Source organism: Homo sapiens, chromosome 4 (genome assembly GCF_000001405.40).
Source record: "Homo sapiens chromosome 4, GRCh38.p14 Primary Assembly".
Taxonomy (NCBI): domain Eukaryota; kingdom Metazoa; phylum Chordata; class Mammalia; order Primates; family Hominidae; genus Homo; species Homo sapiens.
Window position 1 is genome coordinate 40,076,854 of NC_000004.12, and position 21,560 is coordinate 40,098,413.

At 41.5% G+C, this 21,560-nt stretch overlaps 1 protein-coding gene and 2 pseudogenes across 12 annotated transcripts in view; all 3 read left to right on the top strand.

Moving 5' to 3' along the window:
• Positions 1-21,560, top strand: part of N4BP2 (NEDD4 binding protein 2) — a 133,621-nt gene that overhangs the window by 20,004 nt on the left and 92,057 nt on the right. For 4 of the 12 annotated variants that reach the window (NM_001318359.2, NM_018177.6, XM_047415954.1 and 1 more), the window contains one exon: positions 20,374-20,716. The exons of 5 other annotated variants lie outside the window; for them this stretch is intronic. Coding sequence is in view for 4 of the 7 variants with exons in the window: in NM_018177.6 (NP_060647.2) it covers positions 20,488-20,716 (229 nt within the window). In the remaining 3 variants the exon portion in view is untranslated. Of the gene's footprint in view, positions 1-3,607; positions 3,627-20,373; positions 20,717-21,560 lie in introns of those variants that run through there. 3 more of the 12 variants (XM_011513720.1, XM_011513721.1, XM_017008398.1) reach the window with 2 other exon arrangements.
• On the top strand, positions 1,031-1,129 carry RNU6-1112P (RNA, U6 small nuclear 1112, pseudogene; annotated as a pseudogene).
• LOC124900183 (uncharacterized) lies at positions 6,130-6,253 on the top strand (annotated as a pseudogene).

Consider the following 21,560-nt stretch of genomic DNA (forward strand, 5'->3'; position numbering starts at 1 on the left):
ATCACAGTAGTATTTTGAAATCATCTTGTAGGTAACTTAATCCTTGGGAAAGACATTGATGATACTGGTTTTTGGTAGCTTCTCTTTCTGAGGAAGTTGTTTGCTGATCGTGTTTGGGAACATGCTATGTTTGGGTCCTGTAACTTCCCTATATATTACATATAGAGAGATTTTTTTTGTTTGTTTCTTTTTTGATGGTCTTAAGGAGCTAAATATTTGGTTCTTAGTATCAGTTTTCTTAGGCCTATTATTTCTAGTTGGTCGATATTGAATATTATGTAGAATATATATGTGTGTGTGTGTGTGTGTATTTTTGTTTTTGTTTTTGAGAGAGTCTTGCTCTGTTGCCCATGCTGGAGTGCAGTGGCGTAATCTCAGCTCACTGCAACCTCTGCCTCCTGGGTTCAAGCAATTCTCCTGAGTAGTTGGGACTACAGGTGTGTACCACCATGCCTGGCTGTTTTTTGTATTTTTAGTGGAGACAGGGTTTTACCATGTTGCCCAGGTTGATCTTGAACTCCCAACCTCAAGTGATCTGCCTGCCTCGGCCTCCCAAAGTGCTGGGATTACAGGCGTGAACCACTGTGTCTGGCCAGAATATCTTTTTTTTTTTTTTTTGAGACTGAGTCTCGCTCTGTCACCCAGGCTAGAGTGCAGTGGCGCGATCTTGGCTCACTGCAACCTCTGCCTCCCGGATTCAAGCGATTCTCCTGCCTCAGCCATCTGAGTAGCTGGAATTACAGGCACCGGCCACCACACTCGACTAATTTTTGTATTTTTAGTAGAGGTGGGGTTTCACTATGTTGACCAGGCTAGTCTTGAACTTCTGACCTCAAGTGATCCGTCCACTTCAGCCTCCCAAAGTGCTAGGATTATAGGCGTGAGCCACCGCACTCAGCCAGAATATCTTTTTTGATTGTTATAGAGATCTGTTATTTTCTGGATATTGTTCCACCGAGGTAAATTATTCAAACTTAATTGTCCTTGTCATATACTACATATAAAAGATTTATTTATAAAATGATATGGAGTGCAGCACATTTCCTAAAATTGGAATGATACAGAGAAGATGAGCATGGCCTCTGTGCAAGGATATGACACGCAGATTCGTGAAGTGTTCCATATTTTTAGCTTCAGTATAAAAACTGTACAGATATTTGTATAGCTGATAAGGTTCTTTTTAGAGAAAATACTTAAAAAAATGCAGCTTGTACCTTTTTGAATTGGATTTTAAAGCTTCTGATGTTGAATATTTCTAAATGTGTGTGTGTGTGTGTGTGTGTGTGTGTGTGTGTATGTGTGTATTTATTATTATTATTTTTTGAGACAGTCTTGTGTTGCCCAGGCTGGAATGCAGTGGCAGGATTTCAGCCTCCTGGTTTCAAGAGATTCTCATGCTTCAGTGTCCTGAGTAGCCGGGACTACAGTCATGTGCCACCATGGCCGGCTACTTTTTGTATCTTTAGTAGAGACAGGGTTTCACCATGTTGGCCAGGCAGGTCTTGAACTCCTGGTCTAGGTGATGCACCTGCCTCGGCCACCCAAAGTGCTGGGATTACAGATGTGAGCCACCGTGTCTAGCCCAATATTCCTAAATATTTAATGGTTTTTTTAAGTTTCTTGACTTGCGTATGGTGGCATAGCAAACTTGGAATTAATATCCTTTTTTTTTTTTTACTTTTTTTCTTTGAGTCAGGGTCTCGCTTTATCGCCCAGGCTGGAGTACAGTGGCATGCTTATGGCTCAACTGCAGCCTTGATTTCCTTGGCTCAACTGATCCTCTCACCTTAGCTTCCCAAGTAGCTGGGACTACAGGTGTGCACCATTACGCCCAGCTTATTGTTTTGTATTTTTTTGTTGAGACAGGTTTTATAATGTTTCCCTGGCTGGTCTTAGACTCCTGGGGTCAAGCAGTTCGCCCACTGTGGCCTCCCAAAGTGCTGGGATTACAGGGATAAGCCACCTACACTTGGCCTCAGAATTAGTATCAATAGTAAAGTTTGGGATTTTTAGGATACTGCATTTTGTTTTTTTTAAGAAAATCTGTAATAAAATTGTGTATCTTGAAAAATGATATGGTGCTTTTTAATTTTTATTTTCATTTTTTTAGTTGTTTAGAGTGGAGTCTCACTCTGTTGCCCAGGCTGGAATGCAGTGGCGCGATCTCAAGCGATTCTCCAACCTCAGCCTCCTGAGTAGTTGGGATTACAAGTGTGCACCACCACACTCGGCTAATTTTTGTATTTTTGGTAGAGATGGGGTTTTACCGTGCTGGCCAGGCTGGTCTTGAACTCCTGACCTCAAGTGATCCTCCTGCCTCGGCCTCCCAAAGTGCTGGGATTATAGGCATAAGCCACTGTGCCTGTCCTGATAATGGTGCTTTTTTTGTATTGATGATGTGGTTTTCAGTAGGAAGGTTTTGTATTTTTTGTTTATTTATTTATTTAGAGATAGGCTCTTGCTGTGTTGCCCAGGATGGTCTTGAATTCCTGAGCTCAAATGATCCTCCTTCCTCGGCCTTCCAAAATGCTGGGATTACAGGTGTGAGCCACTGTGCCCACCCTGGATGGTTTTTTTTTTTTTTTGAAGTGTTTATTGGTATATCTACTTTAATGGCAGTATTTTTTTTTTCAGTGTAGGAAAACCACAGGCAAATAATGTCAGTATTGACCATTGCCATAACACTATTAGAGATCATGTTTGTTCATTCTATTACTATTTGTAGATTTCATGTTAACCCTGAATTTTAAAAAACTGTTTAAGTGAACATATGTCCTTATTAAAAGAAAAACAAAAAATTAAAATTAGCTGAGTGACATGTGCCCATAGCCCTTGCTGCTTGGGAGGTTGAGGCAGGAGGATTGCTTAAGCATGGGCAGTTGAGGCTGTGGTGAGCTGAGATCATGCCACTGCAGCTCAGCCTGGGTGACAGAGGGAGACTGTCTCAAAAACAAAAACAAAAATCTAGAGTTGATAAGACCTCTGCTTACCATGTTGGAATATTATGATGATAATCAGTGAGCAAGTATTGATTAGATTTTACATCAGGTTAAAATTATATAATAGAGGTAGAAGAATTTGAAAAATGCATATATTCATGGTATTGTTAATAATTATTTGTTTTGAGGATGGGAGGGGGGGATATATTTGTTTTTACATTGTTCATTTGAGCCAGTCCATTCACATTTCTCCATAATATATCAAACTTTACTTATGCATTCTTATTTTCTATATCCTTTTCAAATACAATCTCTGTTTAGGTCAGGTATGTATATGAAGATGCTATACAAGGTTGTTTAAACTAATGTATTAATAAGGAGGCTCTCATGAAAAAAGGAAGATACGTAAGATTAGATGATAAAATAGTTAAACCTGAGCATCACTTACAGTAGAATATGTGGGATTGAGATAAACTGGATTATAAGTAGAACAGGTGATTGGGAGATAGTGTGAGCTGTATATATATATATATACACACACACATATATATGTATATATATAATTTTTTTTTTTTGAGGTGGAGTCTTGCTCTGTTGCCAGGCTGGAGTGCAGTGGCACCATCTCGGTCACTGCAACCACTGTCTTCTAGGTTCAAGCAATTCCCCTGCCTCTGTCTGGGACTACAGGTACGTGCCACCACGCCCAGCTAATTTTTTGTATTTTAGTAAAGACAGGGTTTCACCATGTTGGCCAGGCTGGTCTCGATCTCCTGATCTAGTGACCTGCCCGCCTCGGCCTCCCAAAGTGCTGGGATTACAGGCGTGAACCACCGTGCCTGGCCTATATATGTTTTTATACATCAGAATTTTCTTATTTATTTATTTATTTGTTGAGATGGAATCTCGCCCGGCTGGAGTGCAGTGGCGTGATCTTGGCTCACTGCAAGCTCCGCCTCCTGGGTTCACGCCATTCTGCTGCCTCAGCCTCCCACGTAGCTGGGACTACAGGCGCCTGCCACCACGCCTGGCTAATTTTTTTTTTTTTTTGTATTATTAGTAGAGATGGGGTTTCACTGTTTTAGCCAGGATGGTCTCGATCTCCTGATCTCGTGATCCGCCCACCTCAGCCTCCCAAAGTGCTGGGATTACAGGCATGAGCCACTGCGCCTGGCAAGAATTTTCTTTAATACACTAAACATTATTTGGACACTAAAACTGCCTATATGTTTAGATCTTTTTACATACAAATAGACACAGTGAAAAAAAGGGAATGGAAGGGATATATAGCTTGCAAACTGGAGGAAGTACAGAGGGAAGTCCATGATTCACCTTTAATTTATAATAATGATTTTTTCCTGATTATGGAAAAAATGCATTTCTTACGGATTATGTGGAAAATGCGAAAGTAGCATATAAAAAATATATTAAAAAAATCACCTATGATTCTATTATCCAGAGATTTCTTTTCCAGTCTAATTTAAGTCAGTCCCTTTTGTGTGTCTGGGTAGATTATATTTAGTTGAGTGTCTTGCTTTCATTTCTAACATTCTCTTTTAAAAAACTACAGTGAAGGCCGGGCGAGGTGGCTCACACCTGAAATCCCAGCACTTTGGGAGGCCGAGGTGGGCGGATTACCTGAGGTCAGGAGTTCAAGACCAATCTGACCAACATGGTAAAACCCTGTCTCTACTAAATATACAAAAATTAATGGGGTGTGGTGCCGCATGCCTGTAATCCCAGCTACTAGGGAGGCTGAGGCAGGAGGATTGCTTGAACGCGGGAGCTGGAGGTTGTAGTGAGCCAAGATTGTGCCATTGCACTCCAGCCTGGGTGACAGTGTGAGACTGTCTCAAAAATAAAAAACAAAAACAAAAAACTACAGTTAAATATTATCCAAATCAGGCTGGGCACAGTGGCTCATGCCTTTAATCCCAGCATTTTGGGAGGCTGAGACGGGTGGATTACCTGAGGTCAGGAGTTTGAGACCAGCCTGGCCAATGTGGTGAAACCCCATCGCTACTAAAAAATACAAAAATAAGGTTGGGTGCTGTGGCTCACGCCTGTAATCCCAGCACTTTGAGAGGCCAAGGTGGGTGGATCACCTGAGATCAGGTGTTTGAGACCAGCCTGACCAACATGGAGAAACCCCATCTCTACTAAAAATACAAAATTAGCCGGGTGTGGTGGCGCATGCCTGTAATCCCAGCTATTCGGGAGGCTGAGACAGGAGACTCGCTTGAATCTGGGAGGCAGAGGTTGCAGTGAGCCAAGGTTGCGCCATTGCACTCTAGCTTGGGCAACGAGCGAAACTCCATCTCAAAAAAAATAACAAAATAAATTGGGTGTGGTAGCGAGCGCCTGTAGTCCCAGCAAACTGGGAGACTAAGGCAGGGGAATTGCTTGAACCCAAGAGGTGGAGGCTGCAGTGAGCCGAGATGGCGCCACTGCACTCCAGCCTGGGCGACAGAGCGAGACCCTGTCTCAAAAAAAAAAAAAAAAAAAAATTATTCAAAACATAGTCTTTTTAAATGGCTGTCTAAATTTCCATTATGTCAATCTAAAGAGGTGTTGTATTCAATAATCTAACAATCCTGGGTTCAGCTTAATAATAGAAACAACCCAATTTACAAATAGGCAAAAGAATCCAAACAGACATTTATTCAAAAAAGTATATAAATGCCAATAAGAACATGTAAAGATGGTCAACAACATTTGTCCTTAGGAAAATGCAAATCAAAACCACAGCTAGATACCACTAGGATTATGTGGAAGAGTTAGTTCCTTGAGCCCAGGACTTCGAGACCAGCGTGTGCAACAGAGTGAGACTCTGTCTCCAAAATAAAAAACAACCAAAAAGCCTAAGCAAACAAACCAACCCAACACCTCCTGGTGCTTAACCACAGGCTGTATTCTTTTTTTTTTTTTTGAGACAGAGTCTTGCTTTGTCCCCCAGGCTGGAGTGCAGTGGCTCAATCTCGGCTGACTGCAAGCTCTGCCGCCCGGGTTCACGCCATTCTCCTGCCTCAGCCTCCCGAGTAGCTGGGACTACAGGCACCTGCCAGCATGCCCGGCTAATTTTTTGTATTTTTAGTAGAGACGGGGTTTCACCGTTTTAGCCAGGATGGTCTCGATCTCCTGACCTCGTGATCTGCCTGCCTCAGCCTCCCAAAGTGCTGGGATTACAAGTGTGAGCCACCGCACCCGGCCGGGCTGTATTCTTACACTGACTGTATAGAAAGAGGAGATAGAGTAAACCTACCCCGTATACTTCAGCCCACGCCCTGTGCCTGTTCTGTATTATGAAGCGGGGTTGGGGGGCGGTGCAGACATAGAAAAAGGAAAAAACAAAAGGAAAAAAAGAAAAACAAACCCAAAACAAAACAATTGACAGTAACAGTGTTGGTGAGGATTAGAGAAATCAGAGCCCTTACACATTGCTGGTGGAAGCTGAAATTGGTGCAGCTGCTTTGGAAAACCGTTTGGCAGTTCCTCAAAAGGTTAAACATAGAGTTACCGTATGAACTAGCAATTCCACTCTTAGATATATACTTGAGAGATATGAAAACATGTCCACAGCAAACTCTTATACAAATGTTCATAGCAACATTATTCACCATAGCCAAAAAGTAGAAACAACCCAAATGTCCATCACTTGATGCATATGTACATAAAATGTGTTATATCCGTACCATGCAATATTTTCTAGCAGTATCGGTGAAGTACCAATACAGGCTACAACATGGATGAACCTGGAAAACATGCCAAGCGAAAGGAGCCAGTCACAAAAGGCCATGTTTTAGATTATACAATTCTCTTCATATAAATGCCTAGAATAGGTAAACCTATAGAGACAAAAGTAGATTCGTGGTTGCCAGGGGATAGGAGAGGGAGGAATGGGAATGGTTACTAATGGGTGGTGGGGTTTCTTCTTGAGTTAATAGAAATGTTCTGGAATTAGTGGTGATGGTTGTACAACTCTGAATATACTGGAAACCACTGAATTGTACACTTTTGAAATGGTGAATTTTATGGTTTACATATTATATTTTAATAAAGCTGGTATAAGTAGAAATTTGGGAGCTCCCACACTTAAAACCAATCCACGACGCTACCTTTGATACAGATGGTAGTGGTGAAGGTGATGATTTTAAATGTATTTTGGATTTATTATTCATTCATTCATTCAGACGGGGTCTCACTCTGTCACCCAGGCTGGAGTTGCAGTGGTGTGATCTCTGCTCACTGCAACCTCCCCCTCCTGGGTTCTCCTGCCTCAGCCTCCTGAGTAGCTGGGATTACAGGCATGCGCCACCACTCCCAACTAATTTTTGAACTTTTAGTAGAGACGGGGTTTCGGCATGTTGCCCAGGCTGGTCTTGAACCCCTGACCTCAGGTAATCCACCTGCCTTGGCCTCTCAAAGTACTGGGATTACAGGCGTGAGCCACCGCACCCAGCTTATTTTGAATTTACAACTGGCAGGATTTGCTGAATGATGAGGTGTGACGGAAAGAATAGGCAAAAATGACTTAGTTTTTGGCTTCAACAAGTAGAAATTGCCATTAGCTGAGATTGCAATTACTATAGATAGGGCAGGGTGGCAGAGGAGAATCAGGTCACTTTTAGATATGCCTGGTTTGAGATTTTTTTTTTTTTTCCTCCGAGATGGAGTCTTGGTTTTTTGTCTAGACTGGAGTGCAGTGGCACAATCTCAGCTCACTGCAACCTCTGTCTCCCAGGTTCAAGCAATCCTCCCGGCTCAGCCTGGCAAGTAGCTGGGATTACAGGCATGCACCTCCACGCCCAGCCAAATTTTGTGTGTGTATATATATATATATAATTTTTTTTTTTTTTTTTGAGGCAGAGTTTCTCTCTGTTGCCAGGCTGGAGTGCAGTGGCATGATCTTGGCTCACTGTAACCTCTGCCTCCCGGGTTCAAGCGATTCTCCTGCCTCAGCCTCCTGAGTAGCTGGGCCACCATGCCCAGCTAATTTTGTATTTTTGGTAGAGACAGGGTTTCTCCATATTGGTCAGGCTCATCTTGAACTCCCGACCTCAGGTGATCTGCCCACCTTGGCCTCCCAAAGTGCTGGGGTTACAGGTGTGAGCCACAGCGCCTGGCTTTTTTTTTTTTTTTTTGAGATGGAGTCTCGCTGTGTCGCCCAGGCTAGAATGCAGTGGTGCGATTTCAGCTCACTGCCACCTCCGCCTCCTAGGTTCAAGCGATTCTCCTGCCTCAGCCTCCCGAGTAGCTGGGATTACAGGTGCCCACTACCACGCCCAGCTAATTTTTATATTTTTAGTAGAGACGGGGCTTCACTGTGTTGGCCAGGCTGGTCTTGAACTTCTGACCTTGTGATCCACTTGCCTTGGCCTCCCAAAGTGCTGGGATTACAAGCGTGAGCTACCACACCCGGCCAATTTATATTTTTAGTAGAGATGGGGTTTGGCCATGTTGACCAGGCTGGTCTTGACCTCAGGCAATCTGCCCGCCTCAGCCTCCCAAAGTGCTGGGATTACAGGCCTGAGTCACTGCGCCCAGCCTGAGATGTTTTTTAGATACACAAAGTAGAGATGTTCAGTGAATACTTTGATGTGGGTCTACAGTCAGAGAAGAGTTGCTGGCTGAAGATGTAAATTTGTTAGCATGTTGATAGGATTTATTTTTTATTCTTTTTCTTAAGAGATGGGGTCTCACTCTGTCACTGAGGCTGGAGTGCAGTGGCACAATCATAGCTCAGTGCAGCCTCCAACTCCTAGAGTCAAGTGATCCTCCTGCCTAAGCTTCCAGAGTCGCTGGAATTACAGGCACGCCACCATGCCTGGCTAATTTTTAAATTTTTTGTAGAGGGAAAAGAGGGAAAAGAACAGGCCCTAGGACTGAGCTCTGGAACGCTGTATTGTTTCCAAGTTGAGAGATGTGAAAATCTCGAGAGTGGCAGTGTCCTCTGGAGAAGAAAGCCAGTTCTTGGGGGAGAGATTGATCAGCTGTTTAAGTGCTGTTGATAGGTCTAGAAAGACAAGAACTGAGAACTGATCATTTGATTTAATTTTATTTTCTAGTTGTTGGTATAAAGAAATATAATCTAGCTAAGTGTGCTGCTCACACCTGTAATCCCAGCACTTTGGGAGGCTGAGGCAGGAGGAATATTTGAGGCCAGGAGTCTTTTTTTTGTTTTTTGTTTTTTTTTGAGACGGAGTTTTGCTTTTGTCACCCAGGCTGGAGTGCAATGGCTCGATCTCAGCTCACTGCAACCTCTCTGCCTGCTGGATTCGAGCGATCCTCCTGCCTCAGCTCCCGAGTAGCTGGGATTACAGGCCTGCCAACATGCCCGGCTAATTTTTTTTTTTTTTTTGCTAATTTTTGTATTTTTATTAGAGACAGGGTTTTGCCATGTTGTCCAGGTCTGGTCTCGAATGCCAGACCAACCTGGATTACAGGTGTGAACCATCATGCCTGGACAAGTCCAGGAGTTTGAGACCAGCCTGGACAACATTGCGAGACACTGTCTCTACAAAAATAAGAAAAAATTTAAAAAATTATTTATTTATTTTTTTGTTTTTGAGACGAAGTCTTACCCTGTCACCCAGGCTGGAGTGCAGTGGCATGATGTTGGCTCACTGCAACCTCCTCCTCCTGGCTTCAATTGATTCTCCTGCCTCAGCCTCCCGAGTACCTGGGATTACAGGTGTGCGCCACCATGCCCAGCTAATTTTTGTATTTGTAGTAGAGATGAGGTTTCACCGTGTTGGTCAGGCTGGTTTCGAATGCCTGACCTCAAGTAATCCACCCGCCTTGGCCTCCCAAAGTGCAATTGCAGGCATAAGCCACCGGGCCCGACCAAATAAAAAATATTTAAAAAGAAGAACATAAGAAAAAGACTTATGGAGAGTATATTTCTTAATTTTCAAGAAATTTGGATTCTAATTATATATATTATATAGATTTAAAAAAATTATTTATTTATACTTTTGAGACAAGGTTTTGCTTTGTTGCTCATGCTGGAATGTAGTGGTGCGATCAGAGCTCACTGCAGCCTTGACCTCCTGGGCTGAAGTGATCCTCCCATCTCAGCCTCCTGAGTAGCTGGGACCACAGGTGAACAGCACCATGCCTAAGTTTTTAAAAGATTTTTTGTAGAGATGGGGGTCTCACTATGGTGCCCAGGCTGGTTTCGAACTCCTGGACTCAGGTGATCCTCCCACCTCAGCCTCCTAAAGTGCTGGCATTATAGGTGTAAGCCATCGTGCCTGGTGTAATTACATTTTTTGCTACTGATTTCTAGTATAATTCCATGTGCACTTGAAAGTAAATTGTGTTTTGTGGCTATTGGGTTCAATGTTCTATAGATATGGAGTCAAGTTATATTTATTGCACAGATCAAATCTTCTGTGTTCTTACTGTTTCACCCCTTCCTCCTTGCCCCTTTCTTTCTTCCTCTTATGTTTCTTTCCTTTTCCCCTTCCCCTCCTTTAAAAAAAAAATTTTTTTTAAAGGAGGGGAAGCTTCTTGTGTTAATGGTTACAGAGAGGGGAGTTTCATTTGAATTTTACATACTTTTTTCAAAATTAAAAAATTAGGTTTTTTTTGAGGCTAAGTCTCACTCTGTCACCTAGGCTGGAGAGCAGTGGCTTGATCTTGGCTCACTGCAACCTCTACCTCCTGGATTCAAACAATTTTTGTTTCTCAGCCTCTGGAGTAGCTGAGATTACAGGCATGTGCCACCAAACCCAGCTAATTTTTTGTATTTTTAGTAGAGACTGGGTTTTGCCATGTTGCGTAGGCTGGTCTTGAACTCTGGCCTCAAATGATCTGCCCACCTTGGCCTCCTGAAGTTTTGGGATTACAGGCACGAGCCACCTTCCCCCACTCCACGTGCACCCCGCCCCCTCCGCCCAAAAAAAAGGAATGTTGTGTAAGTGGAATAATTCAATATAGCCTTTTAGGACTGGCTTTTTTTTAGATTTTTTTATTTTTTGAGATGGAGTGTCTCTCTGTTGCCCAGGCTGAATGGCTCGATCTCGGCTTACTGCAACCTCTGTCTCCTGGGTTCTAAGTGATTCTCCCAAGTAGCTGAGATTACAGGCATGCGCCACAATGCCCAGCTAATTTTTGTATTTTTAGTAGAGGCAGGGTTTTGCCATGTTGGCCAGGCTGGTCTCACTATGCTGCCCAGGATGGTCTCGAACTCCTGACCTCCGGTGATCCGCCTTCCTTGGCCTCCCAAAGTGCTGGGATTACAGACCGGAGCCACCACGCCCGGCTACGACTGGCTTTTACTGAGCATAATACTCTGGAATTTCATCCAGGTTGTTGTATGCATCAGTAATATGTTTTTATTGCTGACTAGTATTTCATGGAATGGATGTACCATAGTTTTTTTAACCATTTATCTACTGGAGGACATGAGTTGTTTCCAGTTTTTGGTTATTATGAATAAAGCTGCTGTAAACATTTGTTTACAGGTTTTTAGATGAATATAATTTTTCAGTCCTGATAAATGCCCAGAAGTGCAATTGCTGAGTTGTATGGTAGTTGTATATTTAGTTTCTTTAAGAAACTGCAGAATATTTTTCAGAGTGACTGTACCATTTTACATTCCCATCAGCAACCATAAGTGATGTTGTTTCTTTGAAGTCTTGCCATCATTTGGTGTTGTACCTGTTTTTTATTTTAGTCAATTTGATAGGTAAGTAATATCTCATTATAGTTTTTTTTTTTTTTTGCAATGGGGTTTCGCTCTTGTTGCCCGGGCTGGAGGGCAATATTGTGATCTCCGCTCACTGCAGCCTCCGCCTCCCGGGTTCAAGTGATTCTCCTGCCTCAGCCTCCCGAGTAGCTGGGATTACAGGCATGCACCACTACGCCTGGCTAATTTTGTATTTTTACTAGAAACGGGGTTTCTCCTTGTTGGTCAGGCCGGTCTCGAATTCCTGACCTCAGTTGATCTGCCCGCCTTGGCCTCCCAAAATGCTGGGATTACAGGCATGAGCCACCGCACCTGACCTCATTAGAGTTTTAATTCGCACTTACTTAATGGTTAGTGATGTTGAACATCTTTTTATGTACTTATTTGCCACCTGTATCTCCTCTTTCGTGTAGTGTTTTTTCTCCTTTTTTGCTGATTTTCCAATTGTTTGGTTTTTATTTTTTGTTTTTTTTGTGTGTGTTTTTTTGAAACAGAGTCTCTGTCTGTCACCTAGGCTGGAGTGCAATGGCATGATCATAGCTCACTGCAGGCTCAACCTCCCAGCTGCAAAGGATCCTTCCACCTTAGGCTCCTGAGTAACTGGGATTATAGGCACGTGCCACCATGCCTGGCTGATTGTTTTCTATTTTTTCATAGAGACAGGGTCTCACTATTTTGTCTAGGCTGGTATTGAACTCCTGGGCTTAAGGGATTCCCCCCCTCTTCAGCCCCTGTTGGGCTCCCAAAGTGCTAGGTTTACAGGCATGAGCCACCATGCCTGGCATACTGTTGAGTTTTGATAGGTTGTTAATAGATTTTAGATATTAGTCCTTATCCTGAATGTGGTATGTAAGTATTTTCTCATAGTCTGTAGCTTGTCTTTTCATCCTTTTAGCCAGGTCTTTCATCAAACAAAAGTTTTGATTTGATGAACTATAATTTATCAGTTTTGCCTTTTTTTTTTTTTTTTTTTGAGTCATAGTCTTGCTCTGTCACCCAGGCTGGAGTGCACTAGTGCCATCTTGGGTCACTACAGCCTCTGCCTCCTGGGTTCAAACCATTCTCTTGCCTCAGCCTCCCAAGTAGCTGGGATTACAGGCACATGCCACCACACCTGGCCAATTTTTGTATTTTTAGTAGAGACGGGGTTTCGCCATGTTGGCCAGGCTGGTCTTGAACTCTTGAGCTCAAGTGATCTGCATGCCTCAGCCTCCCAAAGTGCTGGGATTACAGGCATGAGCCACTGCACCCAGCCACGATCAGTTTTTCCTTTTATGGCCCATGCTTTTGTGTTTTTGCCTAGCCTTAGCTTCTGAAGATTTTCTCTCTCTTTTTTAGTTCCCACAAGGAGAGATTTTCCCCTTTTTTCCTGAAAATTTTATAGCTTTATGTCTTAAACATTTAAATCTGTGGTCCATTGCGAGTTAATATTTCTGTAAATATTTCTGTAAATTTCCAAGAATACTAAAGGGTAAGCATGAGACTTAGGTCAAGGTTTATTTTTTACTGATTGATGTCCACTTGTTCCAGTATCATTTGTTGAAAAGGTGGTCTTTTCTCTATTGAATTGCTTTTGCACCATAGTCAAAAATCAGTCAGGCACACTTATGTTGCTGGGTTTTCTCTCTTGTTCCCAGATCTATAATCTGTTATCAGGTCTGTATTTCTGTCCCTCCACTGATGCTACATAGTTTTGATTAGTGTAGCCATACAGAAACCCTTGAAATCAGGTTGCGATTCCTCCTGCTTTGTTCTTTTTCAAAGCTATTTTACCTATTTTAGTTCCTTTGTCTTATCAATTTTAGAATAATTTTATCTATATCTATAAAAAAATCTTGCTTGGGTTCTGGTAGGCATTTTCTTAAACGTGTATATCAATTTGGGGAAGAATTGACATATTTACTGTGTTGTCTTCCCATCTTTGAACATTTCTTTCACAGTTTTCAGCATATTAAGTTTTGTACTTGTTTTCTTAGATTTATACCTATGTGCTGAAATATAGGAAGTCCTCACATAACATCATCAATAGGTTCTCGGAAACTGTGATTTTAAGTGAAACGACATGTATCAGGTCCTTGAACAACATACTTTCGTTCAACGTCATTCTGTTATAATGTTGATGAGGAAAAAAATTGGTTATGTATTGTCTTGCTTAAAGTTGTAGTTTACAGCCAGGCGTGGTGAGTCACGCCTGTAATCCCAGTACTTTGGGAGGCTGAGGCAGGCCGATCACCTGAGGTCAGGAGTTCGAGACCAGCCTGGTCAACATGGTGAAACCCCATCTCTACTAAAAATACAAAAATTAGCTGGGTGTGGTGGCATGTGCCTGTAAACCCAGCTACTCAGGAGGCTGAGGCAGGAGAATTGCTTGAACCCAGGAGGTGGAGGTTGCAGTGAGCCAAGATCACGCCATTGCACTCCAGCCTGGGTGACAGAGCGAGACTCAGTCTCAAAAAAAAAAAAAAAAAAAAAGTTTATAAGATCCTATTGAGGTTAATAAGTGAGGACTTAGTGTATTTCTCTGTTTTTTTTTTTTTTTGCAATTGTGAAGGGTACTGTTTCTTTAATTTCAGTGTCCATGTGTTTTTTGCTAGTATGTATAAATACAGTTTCTTTTATATGTTTATCTTGTATCTTGCACCCTTGTTAAACTCACTTTCTTGTTGGAGATTTTATAGATTATTTGGGATTTTCTGTAATACATAGATAACCATGTTATCTGCAAATAGGGACACTTTTATTTCTTCTTCCCTAATCTATATGCGTTTTATTTTCTTTTTTTCTCTTATTTCATGAGCTAGAACTTCCAGCATTATTTTGAATAAAATTGGTGAGAGTAGATATCTTGCCTTTTTCCTGATGTTAGGAGGAAAGCGTTTAGTATTTCATTACAAATACAATGTCAGCTGTAGGTTTTTGTAGGTGCTTTTATCAGGTTGAGAATATTTTTGTTCCTGTTTTTCTGGTAGTTACCATGAATGGTGTTGAATTTTGTCATTATTTTCTGCATTGATTGATACAATTCTTTCACGCATTAAAATGGTGGATTATACTGATTTTTGAATATGGAACTAGCCTTGCCTTCCTGGAATAAACCCCATTTCATTATAGTATACAATCCTTTTTTTTTTTTTTTTTTTTTTTGAGACAGGGTCTTACTGTTACCCAGGCTGGAGCATAGTGGTGTGATCATGGCTCACTGAAGCCTCGACCACCTGGGCCTAAGTGATCCTTTCACCTCACCCTGCCCACCAGTACCTGGGACCACAGGTACGTACCACTATGCTTGGCTAATTTTAAATTTTTTTGTAGAGTTGAGGTCTCACTGTGTTGCCCAGGCTGGTCCTGAACTCCTGGGCTCAAGCGATCCTCCCAACTCAGCCTCCTAAAGTTCTGGGATTATAAGTGTGAACTACTATGCCCCGCCAAAATTCAACAATATATAAAAACAGTTATATCCACTGCACTCCAGCCTGGGTGATAGAGCAAGACCTTGTGTCAAAAAAAAAAAAAAAAAAAAAAAAAATTATATATATATATATATATATATATATATATATATATAGCTGAATTTTATTTGCTAGTATTTTGTTAAGGATTTTTGTGTCTGTAGTCATGAGGAGTATTGGTCTGTAGTTTTTTTGTACTGGCTTTGTCTGCTTTTGGTATCAGGATAATACTAGCATCATAAAATGGATTGGAAGTGCTTTCTTATTTTCTGGAAGAGATTATGTAGGATTAGTATTATTTTTTCCTAAAAATGTTTGTTAGAATTTTCCATTGAAGCTATTTGGCCCTGGAAATTTTTTTTTTTGAGTTTTAAAATTATGAATTAAATTTCTTTATAAATTATAGTGATTTTATCTTTGTCTTATTGGATGAGTTTTGATTCTTTGTGGTTTTTGAGACATTGGTCCATTTCATATAAATTGTCAAACTTTTGTGTGTTCATAGTTTACTTTATTAGCCTTTTGATATCTGCAAGGTCTATAGTAATATCCCTTTTTCATTCCTGATGTTGGTAATTTCTGTCTTCTTTTTTCTTTGTCAGTCTTGCTAGTCTTTCAGTTTTATAGATCATTTGGGTAAACCAGCAATTTATTTCATTGAATTTTCTCATTATTTTCTGTTTCCAATGTTTGTTATCTGCTATTTATTATTTCCTTTTTTTTTTTTTTTTGAGACAGAGTCTTGCTCTGTTGCCCAGGCTGGAGTGCAGTGACACAATCTCAGCTCACTGCAGCCTCCACCTACTGGGTTCAAACGATTCTCTTGTCTCAGCCTCCCAAGTAGCTGGGACTACTGGCGTGCACCACCATGCCCAGCTAATTTTTGTATTTTTAGTAGAGACGGGGTTTCACCGTATTGGGCAGACTGGTCTCGAACTCCTGACCTCAGGTGATCCACCCACCTCAGCCTCCCAAAGTGCTGGGATTACAGGCATGAGCCACCGTGCCCGGCCTGCTCTTTTTTTTTTTAAAGATGGAGTCTTGCTTTTGTCACCCAGGCTGGAATGCAATGGCGCAGTTTCAGTTCACTGCAACCTCTGCCTCCTGGGTTCAAACGATTCTCCTGCCTCAGTCTCCGGAGCAGCTAGGATTACAGGCGCCTGCCACCATGGCCAGCTAATTTTTGTATTTTTAGTAGAGAAAGGGTTTCACCATGTTGGCTAGGCTGGTCTTGAACTCCTGACCTCAGGTGATCCACCCGCCTCAGCCTCCCAAAGTGCTGGGATTACAGGCATGAGCCACCATGCCTGGCCCCGGCCTACTCTTTATTATTTTCTTCTTTCTGCTGGGTTTGAGTTTATTTGCCCTTCGTTTTCTGGGTTCTTATGGTGGGGGCTTAGATTATTCATTTGAGACTTCTTTTCTAATGTATGCATTTAGTGCTATAGATTTTCCTGTAATCACTGCTTTAGCCATGTTCTACAATTTTTTTTTGAGACAGAGTCTTGCCGTGTCACCCAGGCTGGAGTGCAGTGGCTCGATCTTAGCTCACTGCAACCTTTGCTTCCCGGGTTGAAGTGATTCTCCTGCCTCAGCCTCCTGAGTAGCTGGGATTATAGGTGTGTGCCACCTTGCGTGGCTAATTTTTGTATTTGTATTATTTATTTATTTATTATTATTATTTATTTATTTATTTACTTTTGGAGACAGAGTTTTGCTCTTGTCGCCCAGGCTGGAGTGCAATGGCACTGTCTTGGCTCACTGTAACCTCTGCTTCCTGGGTTCAAACGATTCTCCTGCTTCTGTTTCTTCAGTGCGCGTGCCAGCGCTCCTGGCTAATTTTTGTATTAGTAGAGACGGGGTTTCACCATGTTGGCCAGGCTGGTCTTGAACTCCTGACCTCAGGCGATCCACCCACCTCGGCCTCCCAAAGTGCTGCAATTACAGGTGTGAGCCACCGCGCCCAGCTAATTTTTGTACTTTTAGTAGAGATGGGGTTTTACCATATTGCCCAGGATGGTCTTGATCTCCTGAGCTCAGAGTGGTCTGCCCACCTCAGCCTCCCAGGGTGCTGGGATTACAATCCAGGTAGGCGTGAGCCACCACACCTGGCCTACAAATTTTGATATGGTATATTTTCATTGGCATTCAATTTATTATATTTTAAAAATTTTTTCGAGACTTCATCATTGACCCATGGATTATTTAGATGTATATTGCTTGGAAATTTTTATGTTACTGATTTCTAGTTTGATTCCATTGTGGTTGGAAAACATACCTGTGTGATATCAATTGTTTTAAATTTGTTGTGGTTTGGTTTTAGCTTAGGATATGATCTATCTTGGTATGTGTTCTGTTAATACTTGAAAAGAGTGTGTATTTTGCTGTTGTTGGGTGGAGTGTTCTGTAAGTGTTGATTAGATCCTTAATTATTGGTGTTGTTGAGTTCTATATATTTGCTGATTTACTGTCTAGTTTATTCTGTCTGTTGTTGATAGAGTGGTGTTGAAGTCTCCACCTATAATTGTGAATTTGTCTATTTCTCCTTTCAGTTTTAGCTTCACTTATTTTGTAGCTCTTTTTAGTGCATATACATTTAGGGTTGCTATATCTTTTTTATTTTTATTTATTTATTTATTTTTGAGATGGAGTTTCGCTCTTGTTGCCCAGGCTGGAGTGCAATGGTGTGATCTCAGCTCAATGCAACCTCTGCCTCATGGGTTCAAGCAATTCTGCCTTAGCCTCTCGAGTAGCTGGGATTACAGGCATGCACCATCTTGCCTGGCTAATTTTGTATTTTTAGTGGAGATGGGGTTTCTCCATGTTGGTCAGGCTGGTCTCAAACTCCTGACTTTAGGTGATCTGCCCACCTCGACCTCCCAAAACGCTGGGATTACAGGTGTGAGCCACCGCGAGTGCAGTGGCGTGATCTTGGCTCACTGCACCTCTGTCTCCTGGGTTCAAGCGATTCTCCTGCCTTAGCCTCTCGAGTAGCCGGGACTACAGGTTAGTTCTTTTTGTATTTTTAGTAGAGACAGAATTTTGCCATTTTGGCCAGGTTGGTCTCAAACTCCTCACCTTAAGTGATCCTCCTGCCCATTGTCCAACGTGCTGGGATTACAGTCGCGAGCCCCTGAGTCTGGCCAGGGTTACTATATCTTTTTTTTTTTGAGATGGAGTTTTGCTCTTGTTGCCCAGGCTGGAGTGTAATGGCGCTATCTTGGCTCACTGCAACCTCTGCCTCCCAGGTTCAAGCAATTCTGCTTCAGCCTCCTGAGTAGCTGGGATTACAGGCCCATGCCACCACGCCTGGCTAATTTTTGTATTTTAGTAGAGACAGAATTTCACCATTGTTGGCCAGGCCCGTCTCAAACTCCTGACCTCAGGTGATCCACCCACCTTGGCCTCCCAAAGTGCTGGGATTACAGGCGTGAGCCATAACGCCCAGCCCGCTATATCTTTTTGATGGCCTGATCCTTTATCATTACACAGTGCCTTTCTTTGTCTGTGATAATTTTCTTTGCTCTGAATTCTGCTTATGTCTGATATTAATATATAAATGTACTTTTATTTAATTGTAATTAATTTAAATTTAAATAGGAACATATGGCTGGTGGCTGCCATATTGACAATGCAGTTCTGGAAGGTGGAGAGAGCTATGATACAAATTTAATTAAAAGGTAAATTTTATAACACAATAGAAGATGATAAGGGCAATGGATAGTTAGCAGGAAAGGGGAGATTGGGGCAGAGGGAGCAGGGTATATGATTTTCAGTTGGATAATCAATAGAGAAATCATTGAATGTGACACTTGAACAAAAATTTGAAGGAGTACAGGAGTTAGCCGTGCAGATATCTTGAGGAAGAGTATATCAAGGGCTAGCAGAGAGATACGTCATTGTAAGAACTTTAGTTTTTTCTCTGAGTGATATGGAGAACATATAGGGGTTTAGATCAGACCCTTTTTACATCGTATAAAGCTCAGTCTGGCTGGTATATTGAAAATAGACTATAGGGGGACAAAGTTGCAAACAGGGAGAACAGGTAGGAGGTTGGAATATGGTTGAAAGATGACAGGTGTCAGACCCAATGATTAGAGCAGATTTTGGGAAATATATTAGACATTTAGTTTTGGATATGTTAAGTTTGAAATGTTTATTAGATATATTCAAGCAGAGAAAACAAGTAGACTGCCTGTAGTTCTATTCCAGGTATGAGTCCCTGCCCTTGTGGAGCTTACACTTTATTGGAATATGGGTGGTAAATACAATACGTATGTAAAACATATGCTATGTAAGAAAACAATAAGTCCTATGGAGAAAATTCAAGTAGGAAAGTGGGATAAATGGTGTTGGGGCTCTGAGGTCCTGAGAAGGTAACATTTGAATAATGATAAGAAGGTGATAAGGAGATACTTGGAGAAAAGTGGTTCAGTAGAGGGAACCAAGGTGTAAAGGTTCCCAGGGGAGAACATTGCTGGTGTGTTTGAAGAAGAGTGAGGAGACTTAAGTGTGGCTAAGGGAAAGGACAGTACAGAGGTAACCAGTGTCCAGGTTATGGGCCATTTTAAGGGCTCTGGCTTTTGTCCTGAGTTAGGGAGCTAGTGGATAGTTTAGTAGAAGAAAGGCATGATCCACCATGTGGTTTAATTGAGTCACGCTGGCTTTGGTGCTAAATAGACTGAAGCGGCAAGGGTGGAAACCAAGAGATAGGAGACTTATAGTAATTCAGGCAAGAGGCTGTGGTAGCTAAGTCTAGGGTGGTGGCAGTGAGGAATGATAGTATTCTGGATATGTTTTGAGAGTCGCACTGACAAAATTGGCTTACCAGTTGGATGTGGGATGAGAGGAGTCAAGGATTATTCCAAGATTTTGGCCCAAGTCATTGGAAGGATATAGTTGCACTGAGATGGGAAAGACTGGGAAAAGCAGGTTTGAAGGGGGTGATGAGGAGCTGTTTTGGACATGTTAAATTTATAATGCCTATTGGACATCTGAGTATAGGTGTTCAGTACGCATTCTAATTATATTTATGAAGACTTTCGTGTTTTTAAAAATGAAAAAATGTATTGAAATAGTGTATTCATTGTTCTGAAATACATATTGTTAACATCTTAATTTTTAACATGTTCAATCCTGGCAAAACCTGCATATTTTGAAGAGAGAGAAATTGACTACTTTTTAGCTCTGCTGTTAGAGTTGGTGGTACTTTCTTAGAGCTAAATAAAGATGTCATTCCGATTTTAGAAATGGAAATATATATAGTCTGAGTGTTTTTAATTGCTTTCTATTTTAGGTCTTTTTACTGCTGGATTGTGCAAGATATTTAACCCTATTTTGTTTGAATTATGACTTAAATGTCAAACATCTTAACTAAGAAAAGGGAAACATTTTAGTTTTGGAAGTCAGAATGCCAAGGAGAAGGAAAAATCTTGGGGGAAATCCTTTTCGGAAGACTGCAAACCCTAAGGAAGTTGTCGTATCCAGTGTTGCTAGTCGTGAGGAGCCAACCACTACTCTACCTTCCATGGGTGAGACAAAAGTTGATCAGGAAGAACTCTTCACCAGTATCTCAGAGATATTTTCTGATCTGGATCCTGATGTAGTGTATTTGATGCTTTCTGAATGTGATTTCAAAGGTGAGAAAAAGTTTAGTTTGAACCCTGTCCATCTTATAAGAAGACTTTGTGTACTATGCCATGATTAATAGTAATATAGAAAAATGTCTTGTTTCTATTTTATTCATAATTTATTAATCATCTGCTGTTGGCAAGTTACTAAGGTTGGTATTTGAGTTGGTATTTGGGATATGAAGAATAAAACATATTTTCTGCTCTTGAGAAATGTGCAGTTCTAGGTGTAAGGTATTTGTATAGATAGCATATTCTGTCTCTTTCATCTTCACTCTAGAACAGACTGGCACTGTTGACACTTCAGGCTACATAATCCTTTATTTTGAGTGGCTCTCCTATGCATTGTAGGTTTAGCAGCGTCCCTGGCCTGTACACGCTAGATGCCAATAGCTCCTTACCACCCAGTTGTGACAATAAAAAATGTCTCCATGTATTGTCATTTGTCCCCTGGGAGGCAAAATTGTACCTCGTTGAGAACCACTCTCCTAGAATGTAAGCTCCATAAAGACAGAGTTTTTAAAAACTTTGTTTTACTCCTGTATCTTCAGCCCGTAACATAGCAACTGACTCATAATAGGAGCTAAGTAAATATCTATTAAGCAACTAGGTAATTATAATTATGCAAATAAGAGCTGATTAAGAGTTGAGGCTAGCAGAATAGTATAATTTCAAAACATTGACTTTGGAGTCAAGAAACGTGGGTTGGATTTCCAGCTCTGCCACTTAATCTCCCTGAGTCTCAGTTTTCTAATCTGTTAGGTAGAAATATAACAGTATGTGCTTCATAGGACTTTTTTTTGGTGAGGATTGAGTTTTAGTTTTTTGTTTTTGGTAAAGTCTTCAGTATGGT